This window comes from Homo sapiens, chromosome 3 (genome assembly GCF_000001405.40).
Source record: "Homo sapiens chromosome 3, GRCh38.p14 Primary Assembly".
Classification (NCBI taxonomy): domain Eukaryota; kingdom Metazoa; phylum Chordata; class Mammalia; order Primates; family Hominidae; genus Homo; species Homo sapiens.
In genome coordinates, this window is record NC_000003.12 from 95,711,903 (window position 1) to 95,735,433 (window position 23,531).

A 23,531-nucleotide genomic window follows, 5' to 3' on the forward strand; every position below is an offset into this window, starting at 1 on the left:
ATCCTCTGTGTAATTAGTTGGTAGATTAAGCAGACAATGGAGCCACCCACAGGTCCTTTCACTCTCTTGTTACTTAGAAGAATATAACTCTCATCCTTACACTTGTGATCTCATGGCTTTGGGGAAATAATTCAAAGAAATTTCCCCAGAACGGTCAAGATTCACTGACAGAGATGAACCATACTGAATAACTGTGACCAAAGTTTCAGTAAGGGTATTCCCCAAACAATTGTGTTGTCACGAATATTGCCATATTGTAAAATTGATTTCAGACTTATGGAGCCTTGGATATCATCTGGGAAATGCTAAAGTGAGGGATTTATTTACCCAGCTTCAAAGGAGGAGCTGGTCTTTCCCATTGTACTTTTTTCTTGAATAATTTATATTTATCATATTTAAATTATCTTTCTGTGACTAATAATGTGGTGTTACCAATAATGGTGAATTTGAAGACTTTGTTTATATTATTACTAAATCAGTGTATTATATATAAAGATACAATATGATTTTAATTTTTTTCATTAAACAGCATTCTAATTTCAACCCATTAATAATTGTTGGATAGTAGAAACACGCATCTCTTGGAAAACTCCCTGCAATCTGTTAAATGCAAGTAAAGACCCTGAATAAACAGTATCAATTTATTAATTTTTAAATGAATTATATTTATATTTAAATTAATTTATTAATATGAAATTTATTTAGATTTGTTGGTATGGTCATGCTATTATATTTGCATTATAGATGGCACAGTGCCATTTGATTTCTCAGAAGTAATAGCCTATGTAGTTTTGGAAGAAAATATAAGCACGAGACACTGTTATTATTTAAAGTGAATTTACAAAATCAGTAAAACTAATAATAAAACATGTGCTTTTCATGAAAATTGGCTAGTCAGATATACTAAAGTTTCCTGGGCAGCCACCTGGCTTGAATCATTTATATCACTTGGCAAAGTACATTTTTCATGAATAATTAACTTGAATGGCCACATGATACCAAAAACTCTATTGTTGCTCATTTTTAATATCAATGACTTCATTAAAAATTGTTATTTTTTTAAACTATCATATATTCAGATTTGAGAGGCCAGATTATTTGACAGTGTCATAGTGAAGCTTACCATTTCAGAAATAGATTACCAGAATACCTGGTTGCTAAGAATATATCATATTGATTACAATGTATATTATTATCCCTTGCTTTTCTTTCAGTCTCTGAAATCATTTTTCAACTATTCTGTTTTTCACTATAAAAACAATCAAATACATTCGAGTCAAAGTGTTTGAGAACTATAGAAAAATTTGGTCAATCCCATCAATTCAATATTTAGGTATGACCTTAGTATTATGACATTTACATGACAAAAATCTGGCATCTACATATTCTGGCATAACAGAGGCATTAACCATATTCTTTGGTTAGGTCATTCCTCCTGTTCCAGATATGGGCTCATACAAGGTGAGGACAAAATTTTGTCACATAAATTGTAAATATGTGTTTTCCATATGTTATAGATAAATAATGCCATGATAACAGACAGAAACCTTTTGTCAAAACTCCAAAAGAACTTCGTAACCAGGAGACAGTCATATTCTTATAACCCTATAATACCATCTCTATAAGAATCCCTCTTCCTGGAGGGAAAATGGTAAATCTGTTATGTGTACATACACCATCTTGCTCATTTTCTCCTCATCTTATTTGAAATACTTTCATTTCTTGTGTTTCAATCAATTTCATCTGAATCAGTCCTGAAAATTGAATATACATTCTGTCACCTAAGAAAATCCTAAGCAAGTTTTACAATTATAAACATTAAAAATAACATGATCACAAGGCCATAAACTCTGTATTAGTAACAAAAGAAAAACAATTCTTTCTCTTTGAAATTTGTGATATCTTTACTAAGTTACTCCTAGAAGTAATGTAAATATAAACTGAAATTGCAGAATTTCTGACAAAAGATAAAAATCAAAAACTACATATCAGAATTTATTAGAAGCATTTAAGGGAGTGGTGTGAGGAAAACTTATACTGTTAATATTTTTAACGATGAAAATTTACAAATGGAATAAAAAGTTTAGTTTAAGCAGCTCTATGCAAATAAATGTGAAAACTTAGATAAAATGACTCAATAATATCACCATCTATAAATCACATATTAATTATAAGAGTAAAATGATATCTTCAAATTGACAGATCAGTGGATATCACCTTAAAAAAGTGATCAAAATTAGCATGCCAATACTAGGAACTTTCTGATATTCATGTCCCCTCTGATGTGATGCAAAGAAAAATCCACACTTTGTATAGGATATTCTTTTAAAAAACGTGTGTGTGTGTGTGTGTGTGTGTGTGTGTGTGTCTGTGTGTCTCTGTGTCTCTGTGTCTCTGTGTATCCTGACTGTAATGCCTAAACAATAAAAGAAGATTACATATATCACCAATAAGGTCATTGTCCCGGACTCTAAAATATTGTCATAGTCATAAATAACATTAAAAAAGAAAAATATCCATGGCGCATGTTTACCTATGTAACAAACCTACACATGCTGCACATGTACCATGGAACTTAAAAATTAAAATAAATATATGTGCTATGTATAGATACATACATTTTTTACTATATAGTGAACAATTATATATATTTATAGTGGTACATTTCTTGGGAATGATCATAGTAGTAGGGTAATGGAGGAATGTATTCTAAAGAATTAAACAGTGAAGTATAATAAAGTATGAAACTTACTCTCAAATTTTTCAGCAAGAAGAATAAATAATATGTGGATAGAGACAAAATGTAGAAAAATCTGGTAAATTGTTAACAATTTATGAATCTGTGAGAAGGATATACAAGTGTTTAATATTTTTGTAGGTGTAAAAATTCTCAAAATAAAAAAACTCTAAAATAAAAACCAACTATTGATATCATGTTTTCATACTATATTAAAATATGTTTCTCAAACACGCAATAATTCTTAGAACCAAAGTTGTGGTATAAATTATAGATTTAATTGGCCATATTTCCTCTCTCTCTCTCTCTCTCCCTCTATACACACACACACATACACCCCATAATACAACTTGAAACATGCAGTACTGTAATATCATTTTACTCTCTCAGTTTCAAGGAATATTGACTGATCCTGAGTAGAGAAGTAAAACCTGAATGAATTTTTCACCTTAATAAAGAATGCCTATCTAGTAAAAAAAAAAAAAGCTTTTTTAAGTATACTGCTAGGAAGCCAAGCAGCCCATCTAAACGCAATCAACAGTATTTGAACTAACAAGCCTTGAAAATAACTAATGGTATAATCAACAACTTGTCTGAAAATGTGGTTCACTATGGTGTGTTTGGATTGAGGTCAATGACTACAGGGCAGCATTTGTGTTACCGTGACAATGTGCAATCCTGTCACTCAATCATGCCATTAAAGACAAAAGGTATGCAGGGTTCCCTCCTCTTACTTTTTTTCAGCTATATTCATTATCAGTCAATACTGAGGCTAAGTGTTTACTCTCTTGAATTGTTCATTTAAATTCCCAAATGCCCACACGAACTTGCATTTAGCAGCCTGACTTGACATTTAAATGCAAGAGCCTCAGAAGTCTTCTGAGAGTTGACTTCTCTATTAAAATCGGTTTAAAGCAAATAATTTTTGATGAATTTTAATACATAGCACTCACTGTTGCACCTCGAATCCACTTTGCCCTTTTTGGAGTTTATGTGATGGTATCATTATGGAAAAACACACCATTTTAGATATCTCATTGTGTTAACATATGTCACAATACCTAAAATCTAAAAACATACGACGTTTAAAAATATTGCAAAGCACATGTACCCTAAACTTAAAGTATAATAATAATAATAATAAGTAAAATAAAATAAAATAAAATAAAATAAAATAATTTTATCATCCTCTTCAAAAGTAATAGTAAAAACTAATATTGGTGAGAAATACAGCTTAAAATAGAATTTTACCAAGTTAGGGTTTTATTTTCCTCTTAATTTAGGATTTTAATAATTTTAAATAGTACCTTATATAGGATAACACTTCTCAAACCTTGTCCTCAAAATTCTAACACCTCCCAACTATGGTTTAGTAATTACCAAGAAATAAACTGATTCAAATATAAAAAAAAAAATTGCAAAGCAACCAAAGGACGTTATAAATATTTTAGGTGCTTTCATATTCCCTACTGCATGTAATTTCTCTTTATTATGAGATACACATTCTGACTAGATGATATCTATCAATAAATAAACAGGAACTACCAAAGAAAATAACAAAATTAGAGAGGAGGTCAGTGTAAAAGATGGAAAACTTTAAAAAAGTGTAATATCTTAAATTATACCAAGAAATGTTCTACTGAAATATCATAAAGTATACAGTTTCTAATTATGTCATGCAGTACTTTGAAGGTATTAAATCCTAGCAAATATGCATTGTTATAATAATCATCATTATTATTACTATTTTTGGCTGAGAACTTTATGTAATTTTAAAGCATATCTAATATCCAAGAGAACAACTTTGAATGATCCTATTATTAGCATTTTAAAAATAAATAAGCCGAAGTTTAAAACAAAAGAATAGCTGGAATTACTACCTTTGATGATATCTGATCAGAGGTGTAAAATAAGAACTGCCCAAATCATGAAGAGAAATTAAATGTCACTAAAAGATTTAATAGTTCTGATTTAATGTGTTCCATTTTGATAGGTCTGAGAACTTTGGGGATCCAGAAATACTATTGCCAGTCTTCATGGAATACATCTAAGATTAATCAATTATTTGAAACCTGAAAGTTCAGGTTTCAAATAATTTGACCTGGTTCATACAACTTGTTCTAAAAGGGATTGTATTCATGTTTAATTAAATCACTGAAAATTATAGGATTCACTCACCACACTAGTGTTTTCCTAACTACTGATCCCAGCTTTGCTTTATATTCAGCTATCTCTTTTTCTTTCAAATTTTAACTTTGTTAGAGGGGATGTAAATTAGCCAATCCTGCTGTGAAATTCACTAGAGAGGGCTCTTTTTCTTACCTTTAGTTTTTGCAGGTTTATGTGATTTAGTGATGGTAAAATATCTAAGATCCATATTACTCTTTATTTTGAAAAAAAACACAGCAGCAAATTTATTTTCTCTGCAGTCCCATGACTCTTTGAAAATGCTAGCAGGTCTTTTGACTTATAAGTTAAAAAGTCATCTTAGTGCTTTGGCTGTAGTTCAAAAATGAGATGCTGAATTTCTTATCTTGATAAATTATAAAGTTACTCATTGTCCCTTTCTTATTCCTGTGTCTCTGCTCTGCCCTGTCCCTTTCTCTTTAACTTGTCAAATGAGTGATTTCTGTTAAATGAATCATAAAAATATATTTAAATATATGCATGTGCATCCTGAAACAAAGTTGCCAGTTTGTGACACACATAAAAGAGGAAAATGACTTCATTATATATCATCTTTTTATTCACACCTCCTTTGTGCCTGACTCATATGAAATATTAAACAAATGTTGAATAAAGTAATGAATTAATATTTCCCTGATTTTCTGGATGCTCCATTCAGAAGTTTCCTCTTCTTTTATGAATGCTTAAATTATTGTTTACCACTTACAACACTTTAATGTGTTGCTTTGTGCTCATGTTAGCTGAATATTTTACTATTATTATTATAATATCCCCATCTCAGAATGCAAGATTTATAAGTAATCATCACTCAGAATCACTTTATAAATCATAATTTATAAGCTATGATTCTCATGTAGAAAAATAGAATGTAGGTTTAATGAAATGCTCATATTTTCTTACAGAATAATAAAGTGTTATATCTTTACTTATATCAAATTCCTGAATCAAAGAATTTATTTGAATGGAGACTTCAGGAAGCACTAAACGGACTTCGGGAAGGCGCCAGGGAAGGGAACAAAGCCAATGAAGGATATGTTATTAACAGATCACCGCTGTATGAAACTGAAGCTTTACCTTAATGTGAACATTTGGCAGACATGTATAAGATGCTTCAACATTATTCTGCCTAAAAAAGGAAAAAGCTGGGATATATATCCCCCAAATACAGGCAGGCACTGGAATAGTGAATTCTAAAGAGATACGAATTGGGCACCAAGAATGTCTGCAATTATGGCATCAAAAGTATAGGGGGACACGACTTATTTTCTTGGAGTCAACAGAAGCTATACTAATAAAAAAAAATAAGGAAAGAAAAGCTGTGGTTCCGATGATCTTTCAACAATAGGGATCTTAAGAGTCCATAGCAGAGGAGCCAATCTGGCTGATTTGTAAAAATAAACATTCAATTTAAGGGGTTAATAGTAAAATAGAAGCTTAAATGTATAAAATGCACTTCTGTCCTGTGCAGTTTCATATTTGCCTATTCCTGTTAGAAGTCAAATTTTAATAGAATTTAATTAATTTAATATTAATTATTAATATCATTAATTTAATTTAATGTTTAAATTAAAGTCATTAACTTATCCTCATAAGTTTCTCCTGACAATGGATGAAGATAGACAAGGAAGCTAACCACATCATTGATTTTAGTTGTTTTAAAACCCTTACTTTGCATAGTAATAAAATTGAAATATGTCCATATTGGTCAATTTGAGTTGTTTATGGTTAATATTATTTGCTTAAGTGATTTATTAAAAGGAATTTATTTTTCACAGAATCTTGCTGATTTTCAAAATGGTTTTATTTCAGAATTTATCTCCAAATCATTTTGTATATTTTTTGTCTGACCTCTGAATGAGCTTCTTACAACTAATAACACTATATGCATTTGAACAAATAAAAATTAATGAACGAATGAGCTAGTTTTTACCAAATTCTTATCATTTTTAGGAATATTTCCACTATTATCATATAATATCACATAATACAATTCTCTCTATTCATCACTTTTACTTGATAATGGGAGCCTTAAGGCCAAAAATATTTATCATTATTCTTTGTAACCTCAGAATCTGATGTCTAGATTCCAAAGAGATAATGGATAATTTTTAAATGTTAGAAGAAAAAATGAATAACCAATAGCCACTTTATTTATTTGTTTTTAGAAACAGGGTCTTGCTCTGTCACTGAGGCTGGCATGCACTGGCATCACCATAGCTCACTGCAGCTTCAAATTCCTGAGCTAGGGCAATCTTCCCACCTCCGCCTCCTGAGTAGCTAGGAGTGGGCCTGTAGGCCCACACCACCATGCTCGGCTACTTTTCAAGTTATTTTTAGAGAAAGGGTCTCATTATTCTCGTTTCCCAGGCTGGTCTCAAACTCCTGGCCTCAAGCAATCATCTCTATCAGCTACTTTAAATCATCTGCCAGATAAGCATCTTAATTTTCTTTGAAGTGGAGTAGAATAATAGTGGGGTTGGTTTAAGAATTTTTGCCTGTCTCTGACCAAAACTCAGCCGAGTATGTAAAAGAGAGTCCTTGTCCTGGTACCAAGTTTAAAACACAATTTAAATATATTGAACGTGCAGGGGAGCCAACTCAAAGACAACATGGAAGGTTGACGTTTTATGCTGATGCATCCGGTGGTGGAACATGAAATGATTTGGTCCCCTGTAGACAAAATTATTTAGGGGTTGCAAAACAGCAGCTGATATGCCTAAACCTATCTTTTCTTTTACTTGTCAAATGTTTACAACTCTTCGAATTTAAATGACTGCAGCTGTAATAAAGTGTTTATATTCACCTTTAACACAACCGACCACAGCTAATTTCTCTTTTTGGAAATTCTAAAGTTGCTTCATAGATTTCCTTTTCCTATTTGGTCATCGACGCCATTGGAGGTTATAAGTTTGTGACCTCTGAATGTTATGTAATGCTAAACATCTATTTGTTATGTTTTTTCACTGTTTTCTTTTAACTAACTTAACCTGTGGTTTTCACATTACATAAACAAAGTCTTACTCTACAGTATTTCCAATATCAATCTTTGCAAGTTTTATTTAAAGTTTACTTCATGTCATTTCTTGAAAAGCATTTTCATAAATAAAAATGAAATATATGCACTGCAACTCCTATACAGAAAGTATGTAAAACACAAGTAAATAATGAAAACATGATGGTGAATTTCCACACTTTAAATTTGTCTCACTTAAATGCTTTAGAATAGTGGTTCTCAACCTGACTGACTAATTTTGCCCCCAGAGGATATTTGGCAGTGTCTGGAGACATTGTGATTGTTAAACTGGGAGGGGAATGCTACTGGCACATGGTGAGTAAATACCAAGAACGCTCCTAAGAAGATTCTACAATGCACAGGACAGCTCCTCTACCCCATCTTAATAAAGACTTCTCCACCAACAAATGTTAATAATGTTGAGATGAAGAAACCCTGCACAGAGTAACTAATATGAAGCTATTTACTACATTTGCCAAACGTCTAATCCTGTACATTGCTCTTTAGAAAAACCGAAGGAAACTACAATTCTTTTCTCAAATGACCATTTATGCAAGAAGAATAAACAAATATTCAGGAAAAAATAAGACAATAATTCTTTATAAACCAAATAGTTATGTTGAATTAATAAAGCAGATTTAGCCTTCAAGTGAGGAGCATCAAGTATTGAGAAACTTAAATTGCACATTGTTTCCCTTGTTAAGAAGAAATCAGTGTTGATATTGGGTTAGCTGCTCAGCAGTGCCAGCATTAGGGCAGCCCCTGTGTCTCTGCCTCAGGGACTCAAGACCTTTGCTGCACCTTCATGCAAGAAGATTGGCGGGCCGCAATGGCTCACGCTTGTAATCCCAGCACTTTGGGAAGCAGAAGCGGGCGGATCACGAGGTCAGGAGATCGAGACCACGGTGAAACCCCGTCTCTATTAAAAATACAAAAAATTAGCCGGGCGTGGTGGCGGGCGCCTGTAGTCCCAGCTACTTGGAGAGGCTGAGGCAGGAGAATGGCGTGAACCCGGGAAGGGGAGCTTGCAGTGAGCAGAGATCGCGCCACTGCAGTCCAGCCTGGGCGACAAAGACAGACTCTGCCTAAAAAAAAAAAAAAAAAAGATAGCAGAGGGTAAAAAGGCAGTGTGGTGGTGTTTGTGTAAAAAGGCAGTGTGGTGGTGTTTGTGTAAAAAGGCAGTGTGGTGGTGTTTGTGCCAGTAGTAACCATTCTCTTTTATCAAGAAAAACATAAATTGTTAGCAGAAGCATACACTCTACCTCTGGTTACATTTTAGTGGTCAGAAGTGCAATGCATAGGGAGCATGGGGAAGCAATTAGTTAGATTTTCAACCACAATAGTGCAGTAACGGTGAGGAAAATAGTTGAAACTCTATTGAATTGGTCACCAAGAAGTTTCTACTACGAATAGCTATATGTATTCCATAGTTTACAAAGGAAACTGAGAATGCTGCTTTCAATTGAGAAAGAATGTTTATCTGAATTATATTTAAATGTTTATCTAAAAGGGGTGGCATAATTGATAAAAGTTAACTAATTTCCCACATAAGAATTGCAGACCCAAAGCTTGGCAAATTTGCAATCATGGAGAATATTTATGGCTTTGTTCTTAATCTAAAACCAAAAGGAAAGTGTGAAAATATAATATATGTTGAAATGCCACATATTTACTGTAAAATGAGTTTGGGAATTAACTTAGTCAACTCATCTCTCAAGTAATGTTTGTATTTTTCCCTTATAAGCTATTCAAAATCAATTATTTTAAAATTAAACTTAATAAAATAATTGTTATTAATAATTAATTGGTAGTTACCAATATGAATGTATTACCAAGTTTATTTTCTTGGTTTAAAACCAACAAACAGAAAATTCAGAAAGTCCCTGGGAAGCAAGTATGTATATAGTCCCAAATCAAGCCCTTTGCTTCTAAGAACTAACAAAGCCTTATTTCTGCATTTTGCTGAACTTTATTTTCCTGTTTTCTATATCTCAGGGCAAACATCTCATCTCAAGATCCCACCGACATAGGTTTCCTCTCCGTGGAAAAGCAGCTGTAATGACTCAAAGAAAAATCAAGAAAGAAGATGATAAAGGTCATAGCCACTGTTAGGAGTCTTATTCCCACAGGCAATACAGATTCTGTAATATCAATCAAAGTTCCCTGAGAAGGCTCACCTTACTGATGTCTTCTTTGGTGTTGCTATGGCCTTTGTTGCTAGGGAACTACCCAGTCCAAATGATTTTCTGAAGAAATGACCTGCTATTGGTACTGAATCATGACCTGAGACTGGTAGTAATATTACGTAATACTTCCCAGAGGCTACCAACCCACGCTCTTCTTTCAGTTTCAGTTAGATGAAAAAAAAAAAAAAAAGGTCAGAACAGGGAAAGTGCATTTGAGATGGCCTCAAGTAAGGGACTTTTGTACCATGATGTTAAAATATTTTACACTGTTAATCCTTGTAAATCTTAAGAAACTATGCTATAGTCAAAGATTCTTTGAAATAGTACTTATGTCAAGAAGGTAAGATATCTCTTCTCATAACATTACATAAAGGATGCTTTAATTAAAACAAAGAAGTGAAAAATAAAGGTACATCTGTAATTATTTACTTTATAAATAACTTAAGTAACACTTCTTGATTATAGATCCACTTTATAAGAATGATTTCATTTATACTCCATAATGTAAATTATTTACTTTATAAATAACTTAAGTAACACTTGTTGATTATAGATCCACTTTATATTACAAGAATGATTTCATTTATACTCCATAATGTAAACCTTTAAAATAGAATATTTTTTTTTTAATTTTGCCTTCTAATTTTACTGATTTTTCAAAAGAAATATGCTTTTATCTCATGATGAATATTTCACTATGAAATTATCCATTGTGTGTTTTTTCTTCAGCATGAAAATGATTATAACCATCATAGGTCATTAGCACCTGATCACCTGATAAGCAATATTTAAAATAATATAACAAATCTGGCAGTACTGAAATTCATGAACTTTTTTATATACGCCGTGAATCTCAATTAAGAATTCTTCAAAATTTGACTACACTTAATGGTTTTGAAATTCCGTTTTACATAATACTCACTAAAGAAATTGATAGACCAAGATATTCTGACTTAAAAGCATCTCCCTTGAGAGCCCCTTAGTTTTATTTGGGTTTCTACGAAGAGTACACTTTTAATAAACAAGACCATAAATGTACAGTAGGAAAAAGCAGGTTTTGCTATTGTACAGTTTTCACTGTTTCAAAAATAAGCAACCTAATGCTGGAAATCATGGGTATTTAATAAATTTTGAATAATGTAGTTGAAAAGTTAAGGAAAGATCAGGGAGAAATATCAGAGTAGCTCTTATAACTGCTAAAATTTTAGCACAGGAATAAAATTTTACAATAATAAATATGCTAAGTATTGTAAAATTGTTGAAATTCTGTGCTCCAAAAACAGATTAAAGTTGTTCCATAGGATGAAATAGTTCCTTTGTTTTGTTTACACAGTTTTTAATGTTTTTATTTTATTTTGTTCTTTCAGATACAATTTTCTTTCCAAATATTCTAAAATGATTAAAAAGGTTTTCCCAAAAAAATGTGAATTGGATAATGAAAATAAATATATAAATTCAATAATTTAAAAGAAATTTATATTTATGAAAACCAATGACACTAAAACCTGGGGAAGTAAAAATACTTCCAATTAAAGTTAAATATGAATGTGTTGCTGACATAAATACTTTATTTTGTTAATATTCATGCATGAATAATATAAATATTATGGTGTAAATAAGTCAGAGGAAGCCTAAATAAAATGTTTTGACTAATAATAGTTCTTGAATCACAAGAATTTTTTAAAAATCCATACTGTTTTTACAGACATGTATTTATTATTTTTAGCCTCACTGACTTTTGTATTAATAACAATGTTACCACCATATATACTGTACAAATTATTATATATCAGAGTTTTAAAATACTATTATTAAACATGAATTAGCTAATAATTCTTCTGACATATTAGCTTAGAAAAGTGGACACTAAATGTATTATTTAAGGTAACCTTGAAATTGATCCCAGAAATTTAAGTTCAATTGTGAAGTGGTTCTTATTTTTTTAATTTTCTCCTACTCTTCCCTTGCCTTGTAAATGTTCATCCAAATTTAATTTCTCTAGTGATGCTAATCAAATTCTCAAGTTAGATAACATTAATAAAAATGTGCTAATATAGCAGGCAGATTTTCCCAATTTGTCACTGCAGTGCTCTTAATGTAACAAACCTCATTCTTTTTTATACAAATAACTTGGGTGGAAAAATATCACCAAAAATGCTTTATATGGCAGAAATGCTAAATATGCATATTCTTGTGAAATAAATTATTTTAACAGCTGTCGTTTTTTATTTTAATTTTTATCACTATGGGTTTTTTTTGTATTCTAAAACCCTAATTCATAAAATGGATAAAAATAATGTTTTTGGTCAATTTTGCACAACTTTTTTGTGTAAAGTGTCACCTCAAAATAATTTTATATTAATATTATGACACAAATATCCCTTCTGCCATTTACCATAGAAGTATCATTTTAAGAGATATTAAATGCCAACAAGTAGTTCTTTTGAACATTTCTGGTTATTTGGGTGATGTCAGAAGAGAATAATCAGGCAAAAAAAGGAATTTTTTTCTTTTTCAAATCATTCACTATAGAAAAATAACAGCATTCATCTACAGATTAACTAAAGTATATTGATCCTTAAAAGAAATTCTATTGATATTCCATCTGCTAATGGAGCCCACATCTCTCCCATTTTCTTTGGGGATCATGAAAGAAGGATCACATTTTTCCCATTTATGTTACTAGTACGGGATGAATTTCAGTTTAAATCTTTACTTGGCACTTAGCATAGGTTATCTTGATTTCTTCATTCTCATCTTTGTGAACCCAGAGTGTCATTTCAATCCCTTTCTCTATGTTTCTCCCTGTCTCTCTCTCTCTCTGTCACACACACACACACACACATACACACACACACACACACACACAAACACACACCCCCATCCCTGGAACTAAAACTAAAATGTATATAAGGAATTTGCATGTTCAGGCCCAGTTAGAGGTTATGAAGCTGGAAGAAATTTAAATTATAGCAAACTGTCCTTATTGGTTTGTTTAAGCAATTTGAGATTCAATTATTAGAAAAACTATACATCATATATAGATAGATAGGCACCTATAGATATACGTAAATATATTAGAAATATTAGAAAAGATACTTGTATTAAAATTTTTGTGACAGAAAAATTTTAAAAAAGAATCGTGAAGTGACTATACAAATAACAATTTTTTAAATTTGTAAAATTGTCTTTTTCTTATTCCCAGGCATTTTTTTTAATGCTTGCTTCATGGTACATGTGCATGCACTGCGTCATAGAGATATATTTCATGTGGTTATTTTCCTAAAAATGTAAATTGTGTCAGCAGGGATGAATATGATGATTTGCTAATTTTTTATACTAAAAATCATCTTATGATACATGTTTTATAGAACGTTAAAATGTGTATTGACCATATATTTTCATGTCCTTGTTTTTCAATTACTTTAGTGTCATGTATATTAACTACATTAATTTATGATCAACTTAATATTTTGCATATATTTTTGGTATTTATATAATATGTATGCATACACCCACATTTTATATGTAAGTATATATATATATAGGTGGGTTTAATATATAAATGCCTCATGTGTGCTAATAACTTTATGTGCATATTGGATTTTAAAAATTCAATGAAGTGTTATTATTCCTAGCTTACAAAGAAGGACACCAGCCAACCTTTCTTACAGAAGAAATATTTCACTTAACTTATTAGGTGTGACTGCAAAGCACATCCCCTTCCTATGCTGCCTCATTCACCTCCATAGAAAATAATAGTTGCTAGAAAAGACACATAATAGGAATTCTTTCTATATATAAATTCCTATTCTGCGTATTATTTTATTTTCTATCTTGCCTATATTTACTACCTTAAATTTATAATATTTAATATACTTTGAGGAGAGTTTCTTCCCCATAAAAAATGTCAAATTCACTGTAAAATTGCTGCATAAGCATTCCATTGTATGACTACAGTATAGCCCATTTAAGTATCTAAAACTGATGCATATTTGCAGTGTTTCCAATCTAGCTATCATAAGCAGGGCCTTAATAAATACTCTTATACAGTTATTTTGACATATGGGCAAGTGCACTTGTAGGATGAAGTCCTGAATGGGTAATTTCTTGTATAAGTTATTTATGCATATATATGTTGATATATAGGACCAAACTATCATCCATAAATGCTATAACAATTAAATTTTCCAAAAAGCTATTTGAGCATGATAGCTTATTTACATTCTGGCAACAGTGTACTTGCAAACTTTTTGAAAATCTTAGTCAACCTGAAATTTTAAAAAGAAGGAAATATCTTCCCATTTTAGATTTAATAATAGCTATCATATGTAACAAATAAAGAAGAATCTAAGTGAAACTTCTTTATGAATTTCAAATGATGTAGCTATTGCCATGAAACCTCCAAGGTACATGGCATGGATGAAATCATGAAGTTATCTTAACAGCATTCAAAAATATGATGTAATACATAAAGATTTGGTACTTAAGCTTTATAGAGGTAATTTTTATGATTTTAAAATTTTACATAGCATAAATTAATGTTAAAAATGTATTTTCAAAAATGCCATTAGTAAGTAACAGAATAGTCTTCTGATTGAATTAGAAAACATTAACAGCTGATATATTTAGGATATCTCTTTGTTCTTTTCTACCAAAGCTTACAGTAACTTAGTGAATTTGTTATACTAAAAAAAAAATCAGCAAACACTTTCCTGCTATTCCCTTGGCAATAAAACTGTTCATAATCATTGAAATAATGGATTATAGTTCCCCAAGATGTTTGATCCTACTTACTTATTACGAAGCTTTGACAGGAATTGTGACTCTAGTTTTAGAATGAGCTTCCCAGGAGATAAGGTCTCAGTGCAGTGAAGGGAAAAGAAGTAACTTCAGGTTTATATCAAAGAGGAATTTCTTCAGTGAGATATTTACTCTTATTTTCAAATCCTTAGATATAACATTGAATATAGAGTTTAAAAAAAACTATTTACTATGTCAGTTTATACTTTAAAATGTGTTGTAGCCAACTTTGATTTATGGTAATTTGCACACAGTACTCATGGCTTTTAACTTGCAGGCATGTTAGAAAGTGAAATTAACTCCATATCTCTACTTTGAAGATAGTATTTTAGGAAGTTTTAGGGAATTATTTTACAGAGTTTCAAGTAGTGTCTTTTAGTTCAATGATCAAATGACACTCTTAAATGTATGTATATATTAATAATCAAATGCTGACAAACCCTCTCCCCAAACAAAAACAAAAATGCTATTTATTTACTATTAAAAAATTAGTGTCAGAAATTGTGGTAGATACTACCTCTTGTTCTCTTATCCTATATTTAGTATGTAAAAATAATATTTTTAACTAAATATTATAAAGTAATGCAAGATGTTAAAACAGAGTCTACTGATTTCATTATTTTCACCTATTTCATTTTATTATGAACAATTTTAGTAAAAATTATATTTTATTTGTTTTGTTAGAGCCAAAAAAATTTTCCAAATTTATTAAGCAACCATTGAGCAACTTAAAACAACTACAAATAGACTATTTGGAGACTTTGGTTATCTAAAAATGTGTACTCATGAAAACAGAGTTAACAAACACATGTAGAAAATATGATTGAGAAATACTGGCCTATATCACATCTACAAAATATATGTTACACAAATGTGTCTAAAACCTATAGATTTACATTACATATCCAAACAGACAGAACTGAAAATATGCTATTGAATACATAGTTGCACAAAAACTATATTTGCAACTTACATTTCTAACAAATGCTGAATTTTTTTCTCTGTTGAAATAAAAAAATATGAAGCTACTTTCTAATGCTACTGTACAGTTTCAAGGGTTTTCAAATGAAAAGAAGTTTCTGTAATTAGGTAAGTATTAAATTATGTTTTATGAAGAATTATAAGTAAAAACAAAAGATCCTGTCAAATTGTGAAACAAAATTTGGGATTTAAACAGAATATGTGGAAATATGGTAGACTTTAATATTATTGCATGTATATATTAAACAATTTCAACTTTTATCCTAAATTCAGGGGTATAAGTGCAGGTTTATTACATAGGTATATTGTGTGATGCTGAGTATTGGGGTACAGATAATCCCATCACCCAGGTAGTGAGCAGAGTAGCTGATACAGTTTGGCTTGTCCCCACCCAAATCTCATCTTGAATTGTAACTCCCACAATTCCTACATGTCATGGGAGGAACCCAATGGGAGGTGATTGAATTATGAGGGAGGGTCTTTCTCATGATGTTCTCATGATAGTGAATGATTCTCACAAGATCTGATGGTTTTAAAAATTGGAGTTTCCCTGCACAAGCTCGCTCTTTGCCTGGTGCCATCCATGTCAGAGGTGACTTGCTTCTCCTTGCCTTCTGCCATGATTGTGAGGGCTCCCCAGCCATGTGGAACTGTAAGTCCGTTAAACCTCTTTCTTTTGTAAATTGCCCAGTCTTGAGTATGTCTTTATCAGCAGCATAAAAACGGACTAATACAGTACTCAATAGGTAGTTTTTCAGCCAACGTCTCCCTCTCTCCCTCCTTCATTTAATAGTCCCCAGTGACTACTGTTCCTATCTTTATATCACTGTGTCCTCAATGTTACTCATTGTGTACTCAATATATCTCCCACTTTTAAGTGAAAACTTGCAGTATTCAGTTTTCAGTTTCTGTATTAATCCACTTAGGATGATAACCTCCGCCTTCATCCATGTTGCTGCAAAGGACATGATTTTATTCTTTTTTAAGGTTGCATATTCTGTAATGTATATGTATCACTGTTTTTAATCCAATCCAATGTAGATGGGCACATAAATTGATTTCAGGTGTTTAATATTGTGAATAGTGCAGTGACTAACATCTTTTTTGTAGAACAATTTATTTTCCATAATAAATACAATGGAATTGCTGGGTTAAATGGTAGTTTTGTTTTAGTTCTCTGTGAAATCTCCAAACAGCTTTCCATAGTGGCTGAATTAATTTACATTTTCACTAAAAGTATATACACATTCCCTTCTCTCTGCATCCTTGCCAGCATCTGTTATTTTTTTTTTTTTGAGTTTTTAATAATAGCCATTCTGACTGTTTGAACTTATTCCTTTAATCTAACTAAAATTTTGTATTCATTGACCATCATTTCCTCAAACCTCCTACCCCTTAGCCTCTGATAACCATGATTCTACTCTGGTTCTGTGAGTTCTACTTTTTGATGCCACATATAAGTAAATTTATGTTTTACTTTTCTTTCTGTGCCTGGCTGTTTTACTTAACATCTTTCTGGTTCATCCATACTGATGCAAATGACAGAATCTCTTTCTTTGGTAAGGCTGAATAGAATTCCATTGTGCATATATATATATGCACAATGTGTATTTATCACATTGTGTATATATCACATTGTGCATATATATATATATATGTATATATCACTTTTTCTTTATAAATCCATCTGCTGCTAGACATAGCTTGATTACCTGTCTTTATTATCATGAATAATGCTGAAATGAAAATGAAGGTGCAGATATCTCTTTGACATACTGACTTCATTCCCTTTGTATATATACCCAGAAGTGGGATTACTGGATCATATAATAATTCTATTTTTAATTTTGAGGAGCCTCCATAATGTTTTCTGTAATGGTTGTAGTAATTTACATCCAACCAACAGTGTATCAGGATTCCCTTTTTTCCATGTGCTCATCAAAACTTCTTATTTGTTGTCTTTTTATAACAGCCATTTTAACAGATGTGAGGTGATACTTTATTATAGTTTTAATCTGCATTTCCCTGATGATTGGTGATGTTGAGCATTTAAAAAATATATGTCCGTTGGGAGGCCCAAGTGGGCAGATCACAAGGTCAGGAGATCGAGACCATCCTGGCTAACATGGTGAAACCCCGTCTCTACCAAAAATACAAAAAAAATTAGCCGGGCATGGTGGCGGGCGCCTGTAGTCCCAGCTACTCAGGAGGCTGAGGCAGGAGAATGGTGTGAACCCGGGAGGTGGAGCTTGCAGTGAACCCAGATCGTGCCACTGCACTCCAGCCTGGGTGACAGAGCAAGACTCTGTCTCAAAAAAAAAAATATATATATATATATACATATATATATATATATTTGTATATATACATATATATATATATATGTATATATATATATATACAAAGAAGGCCATTTGTATGCCTTCTTTGGAAAAATGTTTACTCAGGTCCTTTGCCCATTTTTCAATTGGGTTTTTATTTTTTTAATTTAGAGTTATTTGAGTTTCTTATACATTTTGGATATTAACCCTTCATCATATATATGGTTTGCAAATAGTTTCTCCCATTTTTTACGTTGTTTCTTCATGCTGTTGATTGTTTCCCTGGTAGTGCAGAATCTTTGTGGTTTGATGTAATCCTGCTTGTTTATTTTTGCTGTTGTTGTCATTGCTTGCAGCGTCATATTAAAAAAAATCATTACCCAGATCAATGTTATGGAGATTTTCTACTTTGTTTTCCTCTCGTAGTTTTACTTTTTCAGGTTTTATGTATAAGTCTTTAACCGATTTTGAGTTTTTTTTGTGTGTATAGTATGAGGCATGGGTCTAATTTCATTCTCTTACTTGTGGCTATGCAGTTTTCCCAACACCTTTTATTAAAGAGATTGTCATTTTCCCATTGTGTGTTTTGGAACCTTTGTCCCTAATCAATTGACCTTTAGTATGTGGGTGTATTTTTGGACTCTCTATTCTGTCCCATTTTTCTGTGCCTGTTTTAATGCCAGTGCCATGCTGTTTTGATTATGATAGTCAGTGTAATACCTCCAGCTTTATTCTTTTTGCTCCAGATTGCTTTGGTTATTTCAGGATCTTTTGTTGTCTCATAAATTTGAGAATTGTTTTTAACCACTTCTGTGAAAAATGTCATTGAAATTTTGATAGGGATTGCCCTGAATCTTAGATCACTTTGGGCAGTATTGATACTTTAGTAATATTTATTCTGCCAGTTCATGAACATGAGATGTTTGCATTTATTTGTGTCTTCTTAAATTTTTTTCATAAATGTCTTATAGTTTTCAGCATACAGATCTGTCACCTCCATCGTTAAATTTATTCATATTTATTCTTTTTTGTAGCTATGATAAACATGATTAGTTTCTTGATTTCTTTTTTTTTTTTTGCATAGGTCCTTGTTAGTGAATAAAATAATACAGAGTTCTGTATGCTACAAGATTTTGTATCCTGTAACTTTACTGAATTCACTTATAACTGCATTTATTTACTGAATTCATGTTCCTTATTCTACCACCACATTTTCTTGATATTTTGGTTTATATTTTTATTTTCTCTGGGCGTTTTATTTTGTTCCAGTTAAATTTTGTTTGGGTTTCTTATTTTGTGCTTAATTTCTAGGAAGAGAAAAAGACATGTTAAATTTAGAACCCCCATATTCAAAGCAGACATAAAACTAACTTTACATGTTTGAACCAGGAGAAGATAAAACATGTAATTTTAAAATTTTGTTGAGATGATCACATTTTAAAATTAATATTGTAATGAGTACTTTACCTTCATATCAAATGCCATCATCTAAATATCTAAAATATTTTTTATATCTGAGTTTCTTATTCTAAGAGAAGCCATAAAATATGGGTAAGCATTTTGACATCTAGCACTGCAAAAGTAAAATCTTTGCTTTACAACATATCCTTGTTAGATTATATATAGGGTAATCACATCATAGATTTTGAAATTAATCTCATCATGTTCAGAGTAGATCTTGTATAACCCTCCTGAATTTCAACAGTGTGCCTCACATAGCTTATCAGACAGAATTATTCTTGTATAAGTTTTCATGAGACACCACAAATTCAGGATATTTCTACATTTCTCTAGAATGAAATCATCTGAAACCCATTCTTCTACTGAAAATAGAATTTCAATCTGACTCACCCAGTTTTCTAATGATTCACAGTTTCATAAATTTGTTGATTGAATTCAATAGGTTTATAAACAGTGTAAAAGTAATTGGCCCCAAAAGAGACTCAAAGTTTGACCATGGTCTCTATAACAAAGCCGCTAGCATTTTCCAGAGTTGGGATAGTGATAAAACAAAATAAACACAAAAATAATGGCATATGTCTTATATGTGTAAACAAACTAAATGATATTTAAAGTAGTTTAAACAAAATATAATAGTCTCTTAATCACATGTGGCAGATACCATCACTCAAAAATTCTAAGAGTACATTAACAGCCTGATTAAATAATTTAGTGGTCACTTATTGGACTGAAAGGCCCTAAGATTTATTTCTTTCCATCTCTATGTGCCATATTACTAGGGAAGACAACCCAGGCTCAGTGGAATCATGAAGCAAGGAATCAATTTCCTTTCCCTAAGAAAAGAAGCCCACAAAATATTTGTACTCACTTACAAACTTAGCCAAAAGGAAAACAGTATAAATTACTAAGGCTAAACAAAACAATGGATCCTTTCTTCAGTAGCACAATGGAGAAGAAGAAAATTCCATTCTATAGAACTAATCAGGTCTAGAAAAAATATAATAAATCAAAGAAATAAGAAAAAGTAAAAATAAAGAAATTTTAACACATAATTTTTATGTAAGTGTTTCATTATCAAAAATCCCTTGTTTCTAATAACTACATAATGTTGGGAATGAAAGACAAGGAATGTTAGAATTGCAGAAGTAAACCTTTGATATTAAGCTATACCTGATACCTATTACATCTTAACAAATCCAGAGTAATTCTGAAAATAGTTTCTATATTAAATATAATTACTTGTTTTATATAAGACACTATATTTTTAAAAAACAAATTTGAATTGAGTTTAATTTTAATTTTTAATTACATTTATGAAATTGAATTTTCATTTTCACTAAGCCTTGTCCTTGAAAAGAAATTCATTATATGCTTATTGCATAAAAGATACAATTAGAGCTAAATGCTTAATGTTTAGCTATTTAAGAAAATAACACTTCACTAATTACTTTTAATCTGTTAGTAAAAGACAATAGATAATAGGTGTGATTGGAACCACCATATTTATAGAATTCTCTAAAATATTATTTGCTTACACTGAGCTTACTTTAAGCACGAGATTTTCAAACATAGAAAGTTATTTTGAAATATACACAAAAAGATAAATGTCAAGGTAAAGGAGTGAACTTATGAGCTGACAATGTAGTATGTTAAACACACTTCTGAATGTTTTAATTACATTTTCTGATTCAATAAATCAAGTGGGAAATAAATATTTTAAATCAAGATTAATAATAAAACCCTCCAGTAGTGAGTGTTAAGCACAATTTAGAAAATATATGTATATTTATATATGATTATTTATAATACTCTCCATTTAATCTCCTTCAGATTTCTAAGGACATAAAAATGACGCTTCAAAGAACACTGGACTCTGGATATTAACTAGTTTGCATTTTTAATTTTGCCAGTAAACAGAATGAAACATAAAGCTTATAAATCATTAGTGAAATCTGTCCACATTATAAGTGACCAATTAAATACAATTCCTTTTTGCTTCTGTGGTTTACTGTGTTATTACAGTTACCTTCCTGACATTAACTATTTTTATTTTCACCTTATAAATAAATGTGCTCATTTCTAGTTTCAGCTTTAACATGTAAAGAGCTTACAATTTCCTGTTCTTAGAAGAAAAAGCTCACTGTTTCTGGATACATTCAAGAACTGAGGTCATAGAGCAAATCACCATTCCCAAAATCTGAAAAGATAGGAGCATCCTGGCATATACAACTATATATATATAATATATATAATATATTATAGAAATATATAAAAAAGTAAATTGATAATCTTTATGAAGTTTGGTAGTATCTATTAAATTTTAGAACACTTTGACCTAGAAATTTTAATTCTATGAATTTATCAAGGAAATGTAGTACTAATAATAAGTTGCAGTTTCTAGTAGGTTTACTGGAGTAAGTTTTATATCAAAGAGAAAAATATAATTAAAAGATGCTTAATATTCCAAAATGATTTTGTTCTATGGTGATTAATCTGGAAAATAGTTATATTTTAAACTAAAAAATCCAATTGCAAAAATAAAATGTATAGTGGATCCCGTTCTTATAGAAATACAGCATGAAAATGAATGAACAGAGCACAAACATTTATTTTATTAATTGACATAATTATACATATTTATGGGTTACAATTTGATATATGGATACATATACATATCTTCTAATAATCAAATGTTAAAACTCACACATCTATCACTTAAAACATTCATCATTTCTTTTTTGTAGAAACATACAAAATCTACTCTTTTACCTGTTTGAGACATAAAATACCTTATTTTTACTATAATCACCCTGCTATGCATGACTAATGAACACTTATCCTTTCCTTTTAATTGTAACTTTGTACCCGTTAACCATCCTCTTGCATCTCCCCTACCTGCCCCTCCCTAGTCTCTGGTAGTTACTGTTCTATTTATTACTTCTATGAGAGTAATTTTTTTAGATTTCACATATGAATGAGAACATGTGGCATTGGTCATTCCATGTCTGGCTTATTCCACGTAACTCTATGTCCTCCAGTTTCATCTATGTTGTTGCAAAGGACAAAATTCCATTTTTTAATGGCTGAATAGTACTTTAATGTTTATATATCACATTTTCTTTATTCGTTCATTGGATGAACACAAGTTAATTTCATGTGTTGACTACTGTGAATAGTGTAACAATAAATATGGGACTTCAGGTATTTCTTCAACATACTGATTTCATTTCCTTTCAATATATACCCAGTGACGAGATTTCTGAATCATATATAGTTCTGTTTTTTTTTTTTTTGGAACTTCTCTACTGTTTTTTATAATGGCTACAATAATTTACATTTTCACCAACACCGTGTTGTGGCTCCCTTTTCTTCACATCCTCACCAACACTTGCTATGTTTTCTCTTTTGAGTAATAGCCACAAATTACTAATATTTTAACTCAAATTCTAAACTGTGATTATTGTGAATTTATATAATTAATTTGAGGCAGAGGGACACTTTCAAATATAAATGTAAAGAATTACACATGGAAAGATATGCTCAAATGTGAACATTATTTTTGTGTATACACTAATGATTAACATGTCAAATGACTGTATTCTTGGGCAAGGATTTGCCTTGTCAGTCAGCCAAAATGATCTGAGAATGGATTGTAGGCCAGATACTAAGTAACATAATATTATCTTTAGAATATACTTTTTCTTCTTTAGAATTAAATAGTTTAGTAAATTATGTTACCTTGCAGCTTCCTTTTTGCTAATTAGTAGTGCAAAGAAAGAAAGCAACATTTCAACTAATGTGAATGGAATCTATGTGCAAATTTTTATGCTAAGCAGTAGTTG

The 23,531-nt window shown here is 31.0% G+C and overlaps 1 annotated feature.

Annotated features, from left to right (window-relative positions):
* Positions 2,228 to 2,366: a silencer, noted in NCBI's record as "fragment chr3:95432974-95433112 (GRCh37/hg19 assembly coordinates)". NCBI's record gives its function as "represses an EF-1alpha promoter that drives an FKBP-Casp9 reporter gene in an ReSE screen in phorbol 12-myristate 13-acetate-treated (for megakaryocytic differentiation) K562 erythroleukemia cells {active_cell/tissue: K562(+PMA)}" and the evidence as "EXISTENCE:reporter gene assay evidence [ECO:0000049][PMID:32094911]".